The following is a 17,043-nucleotide window of genomic DNA, read 5'->3' as shown; positions in this document are numbered from 1 at the left end:
TTCCCCCACAATACTTATGCTGTTTGTCACTTAGCTTAAATGTCCTCTCATCTGCGAATTTTTCCTTGACTTCTATTTCACTGAAACAACTAGTTGTTCTCAAAATTTAATGTGTATTAGGATCATCTGGGAAACTTGTTGACAGAGCAGATTTCTGGTCAGACTCCAAAACATCCATTTTTAGCAAACACCTTAGATGTTAATGCCAATGATCCATGGAAAACAGCTTGTGAAATTCTGACTTACGGGGTTGATCATGCTCTCCTCATTGCCATGACTGTATTTTGTATTTGTCTCTGATTGTTTTTTATACTATACTGTTATTTGTTTGTATGTCTTTCTCCTCCTACCAGACTCCCTGAAGGGAAAGGAATATGTCTTGTTCATTGTTACATTTTAATGCTTAGCACAATGCAGTATTAAGAAGCAGTAGAGGCTGGGCACGGTGGCTCACGCCTGTAATCCCAGCACTTTGGGAGGCCAGGGCGGGTGAATCACGGGGTCAGGAGTTCGAGACCAGCCTGGCCAATATGGTGAAACCCCGTCTCTACTAAAACATACAAAAATTAGCAGGCGGGGTGGTGTACACCTGTAGTCCCAGCTACTCAGGAGGCTGAGGCAGGAGAATCACTCGAACCCGGGATGTGGAGGTTGCAGTGAGCCAAGATTGCACCACTGCACTCCAGCCTGGGTGACAGAGTGAGACTCCATCTCAAAAAAACAAAACAAAACAAAACAAAACAAAAAACAAAAGCCATGGAGTGAGTACCGCCTGTGTAATCATCTTTGGCACTTGTTAGCTGTTTGACCTTGGAGACTTTATTTAATCCCTCTAAGCTTCAGTTTCCTCTTTTATGAATGGTAGTAGTAGTACTTACTTGCTGTGGAAATTAGCTCTGAGATACAGTATTTAGTGTGGCAACTGACATACGGAATGTAGCCAGTAAATGGAAAGCATTACAGTGTTGTGGTTGTCATTATGTTATGGAAGAAGCAAAATAAATGTTTGAATTAAATGAAAACCCCTACATTATAATTTTAGCATCCAAATTCAGGATATGTATTTAATATTTCATTAAAAAGCTTTGCTTAATTCTCTCAAATACTATTTTATATTTAGGTATTTTAGTAAAGTATTGTGAAGTAAAATCATGCTTTGGGCTTCTCTGTAACAGGAAAACAAAGAAACCGCTTGGAACCAATGGATACCATATTTGTTAAGCAAGTTAAAGAAGGAGGACCTGCTTTTGAAGCTGGATTATGTACAGGTGCTGATATTCTTCTTTAAACAATACGTTTTAATTTCTTTTTCACTTTATTTCTTCCATATTTCATGTTCGATATTTTTTCCTTTTGTATCTTTCTGTATGCTTCTTCCTTTTCCTTCACATCTGTTGTTACTAATTTTGAGAACTAATTATGTTTCTTGGTGCCCATATGAATGGGTTTGAACAGAAATAACAATATAAATTGATACACTGTGAGCACTTTTAATTACCACACAGATGATAGACTCTTAGAGGCTCTTTAAAGGAACAAATTTTGCATGCATTGAATTTTGACAAAGGATTACAAAGTAGCAAAATGATGAAGGTATTTATTTGATATAAGTGAAATAATCTTGGATTTTCAAGTTCTGGAAGTGCCTGATCTGACAGAGTTGAGTTAATTAATTTGCAGCACAAAGTGGCTTAAGTCTCCAATGCGGAACATAAGCCTGGCTTCATCTGAAGGTGTCAGTATATGTGGCTTAATTGGCTGGATATAGTAGCTGTTTGTTCTAAAATGTTTTGTGATTTGTGATTTTAATAAACCCTAAGTAGAGATTTCATTTATATTAGTGCACACTCTAAAATACTCTTTTCTTTTGTTTTTTAAACATTAGACAATTTAAAATGGGAATTATTGAAAAGCTATATTTCACTGCCTTTTAAATACAATGCTATATTTTCACCTACAAATATTAGAAAGTAGTGGACATCATTGCTAAGATTTATAAGGATGTACTGTTAATGTATTACCCACCTTAGTTTTTTTTATTATACTTAAAGTAAGCCTGATTTAAATATCATTAATATGTATAATATGTATATTAGTATGCATGTGGGATTTCTTTAGAATGTATCATCTGTCGTATTTTAAGCCCCACATGATTGGGAAGATGAAGTGGAGATATGCTGTGATAAGCACACAAAAAGTACATTTTTGCCTATTTTCTTCTTTCCTCTGTTCTTTGTTTCTGTCTTTTCCTTTCCTACTCTACTCAGAGTAGAAAGAGAATTGCTTGAACCCGGGAGGCAGAGGTTGCAGTAAGCCGAGATTGCACCACTGTACTCCAGCCTGGGAGACAAGAGTGAGACTCTGTCTCAAAAAAAAAAAAAAAAAAAAAAAAAAAGAGAAAAAAAGACAGGGTACGTGGAGAGATAATTAGTTCTGCAACTCAGGAAACAACTGATAGGAGCATAAGTAGTATAGCTCTGGTCCCCTGGTAACTAGACCTTTTGAAATTTCTAAATTCAGTAATGACTGGAACTCTTACTTAGAACATGGCTAGTTTCACAAAAAGCTGGATATATTAAAATGTATTTACTTTTGTAAAAACTTTAAAAGTAATAAGCTAGGATATTCATATAATTGTTTTATAATTATGATACTAATAATTTTCTCACAACTCTGTATTTTATTATTTTAATATATACGACATTAAAAATAAGGACATTATTCAAGAAATATTTCAAAAGTGTTCAAAAGTGACTTTCTGCAGGATCTCTCATTTGTTTTTTAACTTCTCTTTGAAGGTGACCGAATTATAAAAGTCAATGGAGAAAGTGTTATTGGCAAAACCTATTCCCAAGTAATTGCTTTAATTCAAAACAGGTAAGAGTCTTAAAACATTAAAACCCAAAGATGGGTTTTATAGATCAATAGAGCACATAGATTTAATACAATCTTCTATTCTTACAAGGAATTGTGGTGACAAGGAGATGTGGAACTTTCCCTTAGATATAATGCATTTGAGAGTTGCCAAGGACCAGCTATCTGAGGATAGCTTAGTTGGTGGCTTTGGTTTGACAGATGTATCAGATTTATGATTAAAATCCCATAGAGGCTGTAAGGCACACACTTTAGATTTACTGTGTTTACCCCTTTTATTTGAAGTGACAAATGTATAATTTGTTTTTAATATATAAATAAATGCATATATAGTTTATTTTAAAACCTCTTACAGGGGTATGTTACTTTTAAGTATCTTTTTGAATAATCTTCCTAGCCTCAACTCATTTGTTCTAACCAAGACAACAAGACATTCCCTTTTAATCCATTTGCCTGCCTGCATTTTACAGAATAGTAGGATTTTGAGCTCTAAAGTTAGATACATATTTATAGAGTGACTGTCTATGAGACCTCGAAGATCATTTAGTCCTACTCTGTTTCACCCACACAACTAGAAAATTTTTCCAAATTACAAATAAGTTAGAAACCAAAGAGTTACCATATTGAATTTCTGTCAAGGCTAGGCCATGGATCTGAGCCTAGTCGGATCATCACTCTGTTGTAAGAGGTTCTTCTCAGATTCAAATACAGGAACTTTTGGATTATCTAATGCTTTCTGTTGGCCAAACTCACCTGTCTGTAATTCAAGTGCAGTTCATTTTCTGAAGATTTTTATCAAGCTCTCCTAAGTATGTCTAGAGTGGCTCATGCTGTAATCTAAATTATTTACACTAATGCCCTAATACATTGCCATTTCTTACAATTAAATGACATGGTCATGATTAATTGATCTCAGAGTGTTTTCTTTAATGTTTTAATATTTAATGGGAGTCTAACAGAAAACAACTCTTGAATATTGCCTCTAATGTTGATAATGAATTTAAAGCCTCTCCAAGGGATAACAGATTTGCCAGAATTTTTTTCCTCAAAATAATTTAGATCATCATAAATACAACGATATGTTTTGTCAGCCCATAACTTAAAAGACTTAGTGTATTTGTTAATATCTCTTCTTTAAAAACCAACTTAATCATTGTTTTCTTCAAAATCTACATTGATTCTTCTGTTACTGGTACAGTTCATCTTTCAGAATAATAACACTTCAACCACTAAAATCAATTTGAATATTAGAGAAATATTTTTTCATAATCTTATTTCCATTAAAAGTGTTGTTTTTCTTCTGTCTGCAGTTGGTAGCAAATGGGTAATGCACCACAAAGCCCTTGAGATTCTGCAGTGGATTAATATAACATGTGTCCTTGTGGGCTGGGTGCAGTGGCTCATGCCTGTAATCCCAGCATTTTAGGAGGCTGAGGTGGGCCGATCACTTGAGCCTAGGAGTTTGATACCAGCCTGGGCAACATGGTGAAACCCTGTCTCTACAAAAAATTAGCTGGGCGTGCTGGTGTGTGTCTGTTGTCCCAGATACTTGGGAGGCTGAGGTGGGAGGATCACCTGAGTCCAGGAGGTCAGTCAAGTGAGGTTAATCAAGTGAACCTTGATAGAGCCACTGCACTCTAGCCTGAGTGTCAGAGTGAGACCCTGTCTCAAAACAAAAACAACAAACAAACAGATGTGTCCTTGCACAGGAGTTTATCTAAACATCAGTTTCTACCAACTCTAAATATTGAAATGAAAGTACCTACATATTTTACTAGTTAAATTTATTTGAACCTGTGGTTCTCATGGGTTTAGTATAATCTGAGCATTTATGAAACTAAACATAATGATTCAAATCTGTCAAGAAGAGACACCAGTAGATTATTTTGTTTTTTGTTGTTGATTGTTTCTTAATCTCTTGACTGTATTGGGGGAAAATATGTCTGATATTGTTAGATTAGCTGTTGAAGCATTTGGTGGAGATAGTAGCACTGCCTTTGCCATAACTTTTATTTTATTTTATTTTATTATTTCTTTTTTGAGAGGGAGTTTCACTCTTGTTGCCCAGGCTGGAATGCAATGGCATGATCTCAGCTCACTGCAATGTCCGCCTCCCAGGTTCAAGCAATTCTCCTGCCTCAGCCTCCTGAGAAGCTGGGATTACAGGCACCTGCCACCACGTCCAGCTAATTTTTGTATTTTTAGTGGAGACGAGTTTTCAACATGTTGGCCAGGCTGGTCTCGAACTCCTGACCTCAAGTGATCCACCCACCTTGGCCTGGGAACGTAAGCCACTTCGCCCGGCACCTTTGCCATATCTGTATGTACCTCCAGATCACAGGATTCAGTTTTGTTTACCCCTTTGAACTTTCTAAACTTAGGGAAATTTCTCTATCATTTTCAACAGGAAATTTACAGAACCAAAATAAAATTAGACTTTGAGCTGTCCCTGTAAAGGCACTAAAAGTAAATCATAGGGAAAAAAGCAAATAGTTGAAATGTTATATAGTTATTAAAAATGAGTCAGCTCAGTAGTTGTGACAGTAAAGCGATTTCCTTCACTTCTGAGGCCAGGAGGGAATATTGCAAAATTAAGATGTTTAATATTACTTGGCTGGGCACAGTGGCTCACGCCTGTAATCCCAGCACTTTGGGAGGCTGAAGTGGGCAGGTCCCTTGAGGTCAGGAATTCCAGATCAGCATGGCCAATGTGGTGAGCCCTCCTCTCTACTAAAAATAGAAAAATTAGCTGGGTATGGTGGCACATGCCCTGTAGTCCCAGCTACTTGGGAAGCTGAGGCATGAGAATGGCTTAGACCCAGGAGGCAGAGGTTGCAGTGAGCCAAGATTGCGCCACTGCACTCCAGCCGGGGTGACAGTGTGAGACTCAGTCTAAAAAAAAAATTACTTAAAATATTAAGTTTGAGGGTTCTTTGATGTTAATGAATTTTAACTTGAACAGAATATATGACAACAATCTATAATTTGTTTTGTGACTTGAATAAAACAATAAATAATTGTATACTGATATTGTTAAGAGTTTGTCCTGGGACTATTTAATATAAGCAACATACTTTATATTTCTAAATTAGAAACATGTTATAAAGAAAACTTTACTGATTATGAATAGCACAAACATGGCAGGGGTCCGTCCCTCTTTTGTATATAGTTAACTTACGTATACAAAGGTGACTTCTTTTCATTCTAATGATTTGATTTTAAAAATTAAGATATAAGAAAACCAGAATAAACTCTTAAACAATTTAAAAAATACTTCTGAGTTAACTGTTTTTCCATTAAGTCTTTTTTTATACACTTCTACCTCTCCTAAAATAGTATATAATTCAATTTCAGTGATACAACATTGGAACTTAGTGTTATGCCAAAAGATGAAGACATTCTCCAAGTGGTAAGTTTTATTTATTCATATATGAGTTGTTTTACAGTCATGAATGTTCGGAAAATATTTTTGAGATGGAAGTATTAAAGATGGAATTTAAAAAAAATTCTAGAATTTAAAAACCCTCTGGTTCCTTTTACAGAATCTGGAATTCTCTACATTTTACAAAAATACCATTGCCAAGTTTTTGCAATTAAGTGACATGGAAATGTTATGTTGATTCTACAGTGAACTCTTAATGCTCTCATTTAGAATGAGATTCCTAAAGAGTTTGTCCTAGTGTTGCCTTCTAGTTCATCCTTGGACCAAAGGAAGAGTTTAGAGTGCAAGTGCATATCCCCAGGAATTAGAATCTTTTTTTTTTTCCTTCTCACTATGTACAGAGAAAAAAAAAAAATAGAATCTTATTTTTGTAATACGAGGACAAACTTTATGATTGCCATTTTCTAATTTTCCAATAAATATTACGTTTGTAAATTCACCAAGCAGTATTGTTAGTAGTATCAATTCGTTCCTAAAATGTTCACAATGAACGGAGTCTACAACTTAAGGGGAAAATATGTTATGGTCTTGAAATGAAACTTGAAAACTTTAGTATTTAGTCTAAAATATTTTTCTGATTTTTATAAAGAAAGAAATTGAATAGAATACTTAACTCCTTTACTAAGCTTAAATACTGCTGATGATAAAAATATAAATTTCATCTGGGCACGGTGGCTCACGCCTGTAATCCCAGCACTTTGGGAGGCCGAGGCGGGCGGATCATGAGGTCAGGAGTTCGAGACTAGCCTGGCCAATGTGGTGAAACCCTATCTCTACCCTATCTCTACTAAATACAAAAATTAGCTGGGCATTGTGGTGGGCACCTGTAATCCCAGCTACTTGGGAGGCTGAGACAGGAGAATCGCTTGAAACCGGAAGGCAGAGGTTGCAGTGAGCCAAGATCGCGCCACTGCACTCCAGCCTGGGTGAAACAGCAAAACTTCATCTCAAAAAAAAAAAAAAAAAAAAAAAAAAAAAAATATATATATATATATATATATATATATATAGTGTGTGTGTGTATATATATGTATGTATATATATGTGTATATATGTGTATATATGTATGTATATATATGTGTATATATGTATGTATATATGTGTATATATATGTATGTGTATATATGTACATATATGTGTGTATATGTATATATATGTATATATGTGTATATATGTGTGTATATATATATGCACACACACACACACACATATTTCATTCAAGAAAATAACATTTTCCTTCAATTGATTTTGCAGTTCTGTAGAATAAAATAGAAAAACTCTTTAAGTAACATACTTACAACTAACAGATCTAGGAAATGGCAGTGGCCGCTGAAGTATTTATTTTTAATTCTTTTTGGTAAACAATTGGGTTTTTTTCTTATTACCTATAGCTAAATTCAAGAAAAGCAGGGAGCTGATGGACTCTTTGTCGTGGTAATGGAAATGGTATAGTAATGTTCTTCATTTGTAAGGCAGTAGTTTGAACTTAGCTCATCAAAGGCCATAAATAATCTGTAAACATGTTTTATAAAAAAAAAAATCACTAAAGCCGATCCTAAAGAGTCATTCACTGACATGTAAACTATAATTAAGTGAAACTCATGGGGATTAACCCCATGTTTTCAAGGCATGTAGATTTTACTTAGGAATGGCTTAGTACCGATAACAATTACCCTTCTGAAGTACACAGTTCAGTTGGAGTTGGGAGGCTCAGGAAGGAAGATACAGTTTGCTGCAGTAATTTTCCTAGACATGCAAAAGTGGTTGTAGAGTTCCTACCCTGACAATTCAGCATAGTGATCATGTAGCAGACATAACCACAGACACCAATGGCTATGAAAATAACTAGACTAGAAATAAATAGGGAATTCTTCTCTAGTGCTCTTCTTATACAGAAGATGGTGTATATGGTAGCGAAGGATTTACCTGGCTTCCTCCTTGCAATCTGAAGGCTTGAAGACAGAATCAGCTTATGAAACTGAACTGTTTTCCGATCTTCAGTAGACCCTTTCCTTGCCAAGGTGAAGGTACTGGTTGGATGGCTCTTGGAACAGTGCTCATTTCACAGAATGGCTGGCATGGAAGCAATTAAATGCAGAATCGCCATGATATCCTGCAGTGTGATTGATGAAGAGCAGCAAACCACTTCATGTAATGGAAGGAGTAATTTTGTAATGATATGATTAATGGAAAAAGAGGTCACTTAAAGAAAAATTAGTTTTGTTCTGTTACTCATTCATATTCTAGAATAGTCTGTCTTGTTAAATTTTATTTAAGTAAATCTAAAGTAAAAGTAAAATATAAAGTATCCCAGAGACAGAGAAAAACCAGTTCAGTAAATAACATGAGCATGCAGATCTTCAAGGCTCAGCAGTAAAGAGTTCTGGTATACTGTAACATAAAATTTATTTTTAAAACATGGTATTTGAATTACTTTAATCATTAAGAAATAAAAGTACATGCCTTTAATCATAAAAGAAAACTCTACTTTTTAACCTTAATTCACATTTGAATGTAGTGTAATTCATTAAGAAATCAAAGGAATATATAATTTTCTGTCTCTAACATATATTCCAGAGTTAAAATGTTCTTTAATGTACTTCAGAAGTACTTATGCAGATCTTAAATCTGTTATTCAAAATATATGCTTTTAAAGATGTATTTGTTCCCATGAGGTTGAATATTTATTGTAAAGAAAAGCAATGGGTAATGTGAACATTTTTACAGCCACTGTAAAAATCATTTACCCATGGAAACACTTGTAGGTTGTATATGTTTGCCTGGGCAACAGGATTGGGTAGTGCATGGAGGTTTTTTTTCTTTTCCTGAAGTGATATACAGACCAAATTATTTTAGAAGTGCTCTGCTCACCTTTGAGAGGTGGCCTAGAAAATTTAATTTGGCTTAAAATTTGACTCGTGTAAGGACAGGTATATGATTATAGGTTTCATAATTCATGGATGACAATGATAGAATGTTTAAAACCATGAAGTAAAATTAAGAATAATTCATTTATGTTTTTAAACTAGTGCTAGTAATAGGAGTCCTGTGCTTGGCAGCCTCATTTTTTAAACCAGCATATATTTTCTAGGTTAACAATATAAATAGTATTACATTCATTTTAATCATTTTAACAGTATTTTGTTGTAATATTTTAGACTCTGGTATCTTAGACAGGTTCGTGTTTATTGCAAAATAAAAAGGTTTTTTATTGTATTTCCAAAAACCAAAATGATTTTGTTTCCCCATTAAATGTTATCTATGCATGAGTGAAATAGCCACACCAGTCTGGTCACCTAAACAATGATGCTGACTCTCTTAGTCTATTTGGGCTGCTGTAACAAAATACCTTAGACTGGATGGCCTATAAACAAAGAAATTTATTTCTCATATTCTGGAGGCTGGGAAGCCCAAGGTCAAGGCTCAGGTAGATTTGGTGTCTCGTGAGGGCCCATTTTCTCATAGATAGTACCTTTTCACTGTGTCTTCACTTGGTGGAAGAGCTGACGCAGCTCTCTGTGGCTTCTTTTATAAGGACACTAATTTCATACATGAGGTCTACCCTCATGACCTAATCATCTCCCAGAGGCCCCATCTCCTAACTCATTCACACTGGTGATTAAGTGTCAACATACGAATTAGGGGAGGGGAACACACAAACATTCAGACCGTAGCACTGACCAAAGAGAATACTTCCCTGAGTGAGATAGTGGTAGGAGAACTAGATCGGGGCATACTTCTTGGTTCATCACCCAGGATACTTTGTTAAGCATTTGGCTCCATTGACTCAAAGATTAAATTTTAAGTTAATCGGTTTTTATAACTCTGGAGATTCTTGGGTATAACTAATATTTGGCCAGGACATTTTAAACCTACTTTATGCTGTTCTATGTTAAACACAGCAAAGTTAAACAGCATGTCTGGTATAATAAGGAAGAAAGCAAATGGTATAAGGATTTGAACTCGGGCGGGTCTGAGATGAAAGCCTGTACTCTAAACCACAGTCCTATACTGCTGTTGAGTGGAGATGAACTGTTTAGGTGGCTTACCATAAGTCACCCTGCCAGTTGGTGTTGGAGCTGTTATTACAACGTGAACCTCTGGGTTCTGAGTCCAGTGTTCTTTTTTGCTGCTCTATGGATATGTGATAATTTGAAAAATGTAATTTAAACTAAGTTTTTCTTGAAGTTTATTAGAATTACTTTTAAAATAAGCATTTCATGTGTTCTATTATCAGTACAATATCCTATTTAAGTAGCCATTTGTCAAGTGTACATGTAGGTGGTCCGGCCTAGAGTGAGGGAAGCAAGAGTATGAATTCTGGAGGGTTCTTTCATATTTTGCAGGTTAGCAGCAGTTTACTTTGTAATTTTTTAAAATCTATTTTTAAATAATTACAAGAATAGTATGTGCTGGTTGAAAATATTTGAAATAATGCAGAAAGGTATAATAAAAAGAAAGTCCTTCTCCATCTACACCATCCCCTTCTCCCATTCCCTATGCTGGCATGGTTGGCATCTACCAACAAACATGAAGTTACTCTTGCTTTTATCATAGGTAAAGGCATTAAATTAATAACCTGTTAAAGGTGAACTGAAAGGCAGGAATTTTAATCTTACCACCTTATTTATTCTTCAGGTTTTTTTTTTTTTTTTTTTTTTTTCTCTGTTTCATTTTGTTTACCATTTATCATAGGTATGGTCATGGTGATTTTGATGTGACTGTATAAAAAATGAACTAGAGATTATTTTAGGGTTATTTAGTTACTATTAGGCATTGTACATATAATCAAGATCCAGGCTGTTAATATTAAGTTGTATTTAACATACTGTTTGGAGTTCTAATTACAAAGAAAGAATTCTTTGGGTCATCTTTCTTATTTTCTTCCTCCTCCTCCTCCCCCCCCCCCCCCACTTTTTAGAGCTTTTTGTATCTAATAGGCAAAACAGGGCTGTTAGGGAAGGCTTCAGTTTTTAAAATACAAGCTGTTAAACTCCAAAAGGTGTAATACTTAAGTACAAGGGTAAAGAAAGCTCAAGAAGGAATGTGAAGTGGTATACAAAAAGGCTGAGTGGAAAAAATGGCTAAAAATGTTTTGTCATATTCTGTTGAATTCACAAGAGCTAGTAAATTGGGAAAAATTTAAATGTTGTCTGATTCTATCAAAACACTTTCATATGTTGTAAAGTATCCATTTGGGCTTAAAGCCTAACTAAAATTCAAAATTGTTAATACTGAATATGTAATTCTTATGACATTGGTTTCAAAAATAATATTCCTCCCCAAATTTGAATAAAGGAGATAGCTTTAAAATATTAGTTCTACCCGGGCTCGGTGGTTCACACCTGTAATCCTGGCACTTTGGGAGTCCGAGGCAGGTGGATCACTTGAGGTCAGGAGTTCGAGACCAACCTGGCGAACATAGTGAAACCCCACCTCCATTAAAAATACAAAAATTAGCTGAGCATGGTGGCTCATGCCTGTAATCCCAGCTACTCAGGAGGCTGAGGCAGGAGAATTGCTTGAACCTGGGAGGCACAGGTTGCAGTGAGCCAAGATTGCGCCACTGCACTCCAGCCTGGGCAACAGAGTGAGACTCGGTCTCAAAAAAAAAAAAAAAAAAAAGTTCTAGAACAGCATTTCCCAGGCAGATATTCTAATTATTTTAAAATCTCTGGGGAAAAAAATGGGTTCCCTGGCGAGTAAGTTTGTACTTTTGAGTTTCACAATGTACATTTTGTGAAAAATGTTCTTGAATGAATTCATATTTTATCTCAACCATATCTGCTTACATTAGATAATAGTACTGCATGTGTGAGATGTTCACTGTTAATGCCTGCATTTGTATGGATTTCAGGGCCCCTTGTGATAACTTAACTCAGAAGTGGGGACCTGTGACTGTAATGTAGACTATTTAGCATTTAGAATTGCCATACAGGAATATTAGAGATGTCTGAAGTATGTAAAATATTCTCAAGTTTTAATAGTTCCAGCCGTATACTTCTATTACTAAACAGTAATATTTCTTCCCAAATTTGAATAAAGGAGTCATCTTTAAAATATTAGTTCTAGAATAGCATTACCCAAGTAGATATTCTAATTATGTTAAAACCTCTGGGAAAAAAATGGCCTCCATGGTGAATAAGTTTATATTTTCCTTTCGAATTTCACAATGTACATTAGTGTCGTCGTGGTTTTGAGAAATCAAAAAGCTTGCCAAGTGGCCCTACATCATTGACCATAGGGACCTCCTCTCCCCCATCCTCCTTTTCAGGTGGTATATAATAAAACTACACAAGGATGTTGTGGGAAATGCTGTACCAGACAGTACAGTATTCTCTCATCCAGACACAATTTTCCTATTGCAGAAAAGTATTGGTATGATTCTAATCAGCATGGAAAAGATAGACTTGGTGTGTCAATGCACACACCCAAAATGCATGTTGGGATTAACTGTATTCATGCCATAAAAATACTATGTAGACATATTTTATTTTATATGGCTAGCTTTAATTTGTCACTGCATTCTAGTCTCTGTTCTATAATATTTATTATAGGTTAACAAGAATTACTCTGGAAGTAATATTTTTATGTCTATCCAGTAGTTATTTTTGCAAACTAATACAATAGTACAAAAGGCACAGTGTTGAAAGATCTTAATTTTTGAGTGAAACTTACTTAAAAGAAGTCATTTTCCCCCCTGAATCTTAGTGTAAAGGCAGCTGCAGTCTGCTGACAGCTTGTGGTTATGCTCTGATTTACTGGGGAAGGAGGAGGTTGTACTATTTTAAATGCATAATAGAGCATTCGTTTCGTCATCTGGAAGCAGAGATGGAAGAAGCTGGGGGGAAATGAGAGACATCACTGTTGCTTTCGTGGAGGGAAGCTTTGTAGCATGTTATCAGACAGCAGTGCATATTGAAGAAAATATCTGTTAGGAATGCATGTCACCAGATGTATTTTGCTTTCAAGAATGGTAGACACATCAAACAAGAATCAGATAAAAGCCTGAGAAAAAGATGTTCAGAAGAATACTGGAGTTATTCTTTATGCTTCACTGCCCTTTACCTCTCTTGGTACCTTCCAGAGAAACAAGTATAGATGTATTTTTAGCTTGCCGTTTCCAGCATCAATATGACAACATGATTTTGTCTTTATATCAGTAAGCAGCTTCTACTATGTTTTCCTATTTTCTGCTAGCTACAGTTTACAAAGGATGTCACAGCACTGGTAAGAAATGCACAGTAGCCATTTCCTTGCTTTTTAAGTCATGTTTTGTAGAGATTTGTAATAAGCCAATCTATTAAAAACTGTTCACTTTTGCTTAGAGAAATCCCTCTATCGTGTTAATCTTACTAATTTGCAGAATACGTTTGTGATAGATGGTTTGCCATCCTTATTTTTTATTTTTATGTTTGGTTTTCTTTTGTATCCTGTACATAACTGATGCTACAGCGTAATATTTATCTGCATCAGTATATATATATATATATATATATATATATATATATATATATATATATATATATGTTTTTTAAGTATCTCACCCTCTTCCTGTCACTACTACTTTGCTGTTACGTTTGTGGCTGCACTTGAGCTTTGCAAGCTGTCGAATGCAAAGAGCAGGATGTGATGATAGTCTTGAGTTAAGCTTGTTTTGATTAGGGGAAGATGTGTTACCACATCTGTCTCAGATGCTGAACATAGTCCCTGTGTTGCACTGATGAGCTCTGTTTTGTAAAGTCTCTATAGTTGATTTCTGTTATTCTTAAGGCTTTAAAAATATTGCTGAATAATTTTACAAATAGTTGATAAAAAACTATTTAGGCTGCATGCCTGCCTGTTAGTAATAGAGAAATGTCTCCTTATAATAAGTAAAGGAGACCAAATAAATTTGTATGATATACTTTTGCATTAGCTTAAAATAAAAATATAAATTATATACAGAACGATGAGTTACCTTTTTTCATGTTTTTCTGCCTTTATTATATGTGCTTTATTTCTTAAACTTGCATATTATCTTACTTTAAATATTAAAATACTTAGCATGGCTGCTGAAGGTCTTAATTTGTCAAAATGGATTATTCTTAGGGACTCTGTAATGGTTAATTGACAAGATGCTTCAAATAAATTAGACTTAATTTATTATAGTAGTAGTACTTAAAATGCATTTAAGATTTTTAATATTTTCACCTTTTCTCTGGCAAAATACATGAATCTTCCTTTGCTGGGATTTATTTGGCAGCCATTTAACCTGTCAACTGCTGAAACTCAGAAGGCTTGAATGGGGAGAATTTTAGAAGTAATGTGGGTACATCTAATTGGTTGGGTAGAAATTTGATGAGTTTCACATGTTTTGAGCAAAGAGGTGATTGTAATTTGTATGTGTTGCAGATTCTACAGTTTATTTGATTTCTGAGAGACTAGCTCTTTCTAGATTTGTAGAGTACCCTTATGTTGTGTTTGCATGCATGCTATAGTGAATGTCACTCAGGAACGAGGTAGGACATAGATAAAATAGTGCACTGTAAAAATGGAAATTATTATTCTTTTTATGAATTTCCAGTGACACCTTCCTCTCATTTCTATACAGGCATATTCTCAAGATGCCTACCTGAAAGGCAACGAAGCTTATAGCGGCAATGCCCGCAATATACCTGAACCTCCACCAATCTGCTATCCCTGGCTGCCATCTGCCCCATCAGCCATGGCACAGCCAGTTGAAATATCTCCTCCTGACTCATCATTGAGCAAACAGCAAACCAGTACACCAGTACTGACACAACCTGGTAGGGCCTATAGAATGGAAATACAAGTGCCTCCATCACCAACAGATGTTGCAAAATCAAACACAGCAGTGTGTGTTTGCAATGAAAGTGTAAGGACTGTCATTGTGCCTTCTGAGAAGGTTGTAGATTTGTTATCCAATAGAAACAACCATACAGGTCCTTCACATAGAACTGAAGAAGTGAGGTATGGCGTGAGTGAGCAGACCTCTTTAAAAACAGTGTCAAGAACCACATCACCACCATTATCAATTCCCACCACTCATCTAATTCATCAGCCTGCAGGCTCCAGATCACTGGAACCTTCTGGAATTTTACTTAAGTCTGGAAATTACAGTGGACATTCTGATGGAATCTCAAGCAGCAGATCTCAAGCTGTGGAGGCTCCCTCTGTATCTGTTAATCACTATTCGCCAAATTCCCATCAGCACATAGACTGGAAAAACTATAAAACTTACAAAGAGTATATTGATAACAGACGATTGCACATAGGTTGTCGGACAATACAAGAAAGATTAGATAGTTTAAGAGCAGCATCTCAAAGCACGACAGATTATAACCAGGTCGTCCCCAACCGCACTACTTTGCAGGGACGACGTCGAAGCACCTCTCATGATCGAGTGCCCCAGTCTGTCCAGATACGGCAACGCAGTGTGTCCCAAGAAAGACTGGAAGATTCTGTGCTAATGAAGTATTGTCCAAGAAGTGCATCTCAAGGAGCACTGACGTCTCCATCTGTTAGTTTTAGTAATCATAGAACTCGTTCATGGGATTATATTGAGGGACAGGATGAAACCTTAGAAAATGTCAATTCTGGAACTCCAATACCTGATTCCAATGGAGAGAAAAAACAGACTTACAAGTGGAGTGGGTTTACTGAACAGGATGATAGACGAGGTATTTGTGAAAGACCTAGGCAGCAAGAAATTCATAAATCTTTTCGAGGTTCCAATTTTACTGTGGCTCCAAGCGTTGTTAATTCTGATAACAGGCGAATGAGTGGTAGAGGAGTGGGATCTGTGTCGCAGTTTAAAAAAATTCCACCAGATCTAAAAACATTGCAGTCAAACAGAAATTTTCAGACTACTTGTGGAATGTCACTGCCTCGGGGTATTTCACAAGACAGGTCACCTCTTGTGAAAGTCCGAAGTAATTCTCTGAAAGCTCCTTCCACGCATGTCACAAAACCATCATTTAGCCAGAAATCATTTGTTTCTATCAAAGACCAAAGACCAGTAAATCACTTGCATCAGAACAGTCTGTTGAATCAGCAGACATGGGTAAGGACTGACAGTGCCCCCGATCAGCAAGTGGAGACTGGGAAATCCCCCTCTTTATCTGGAGCCTCTGCCAAGCCTGCCCCTCAGTCGAGTGAAAACGCTGGTACTTCAGATTTAGAACTACCTGTCAGTCAAAGGAATCAAGATTTAAGTTTACAAGAGGCTGAAACTGAGCAATCAGATACTTTAGATAATAAAGAAGCTGTCATCCTAAGGGAAAAACCTCCATCTGGACGCCAGACACCGCAGCCTTTAAGGCATCAGTCTTACATCTTGGCAGTAAATGACCAGGAGACCGGGTCAGACACTACCTGCTGGCTGCCCAATGATGCACGTCGAGAGGTCCACATAAAAAGAATGGAGGAAAGAAAAGCCTCGAGTACCAGTCCGCCTGGCGATTCTTTGGCTTCCATCCCATTTATAGGTGAGCTCATTTAGAGTCATTGGCTAATATGCCAAATGTATAAGAAATCTTTCCAGAAAAGTATTATTTCTAGTTCAATAGGCATAGAAGTCTTACACTGTGATTTTAAAATGTTTCTAGTGAATCTCATAAGCTGTGCTTCAACCAGAGCTTTCACAAACCTCTTTAAAAGTTATTTCTAGTACCAATTTTCCTTTTTTTAAAAAAAAAACAAAAACTTCATGTACCTAGTACCCA

At 35.9% G+C, this 17,043-nt stretch overlaps 1 protein-coding gene across 28 annotated transcripts in view; it reads left to right on the top strand.

The window, feature by feature from the left end:
- Positions 1 to 17,043, top strand: part of ARHGAP21 (Rho GTPase activating protein 21) — a 140,274-nt gene that overhangs the window by 87,609 nt on the left and 35,622 nt on the right. For 16 of the 28 annotated variants that reach the window (NR_160021.1, NR_160022.1, NR_160023.1 and 13 more), the window contains 5 exons: positions 1,176 to 1,268; positions 2,799 to 2,877; positions 6,229 to 6,283; positions 13,517 to 13,546; positions 14,910 to 16,806. Coding sequence is in view for 23 of the 28 variants with exons in the window: in XM_047425560.1 (XP_047281516.1) it covers positions 1,176 to 1,268; positions 2,799 to 2,877; positions 6,229 to 6,283; positions 13,517 to 13,546; positions 14,910 to 16,806 (2,154 nt within the window). In the remaining 5 variants the exon portion in view is untranslated. Of the gene's footprint in view, positions 1 to 1,175; positions 1,269 to 2,798; positions 2,878 to 6,228; positions 6,284 to 13,435; positions 13,547 to 14,909; positions 16,807 to 17,043 lie in introns of those variants that run through there. The other 12 variants (XM_047425561.1, NM_001367447.1, XM_011519605.3 and 9 more) reach the window with 3 other exon arrangements.

This window comes from Homo sapiens, chromosome 10 (genome assembly GCF_000001405.40).
Source record: "Homo sapiens chromosome 10, GRCh38.p14 Primary Assembly".
NCBI classification, from domain to species: domain Eukaryota; kingdom Metazoa; phylum Chordata; class Mammalia; order Primates; family Hominidae; genus Homo; species Homo sapiens.
This window is presented reverse-complemented; position numbering and strand designations above follow the sequence as displayed.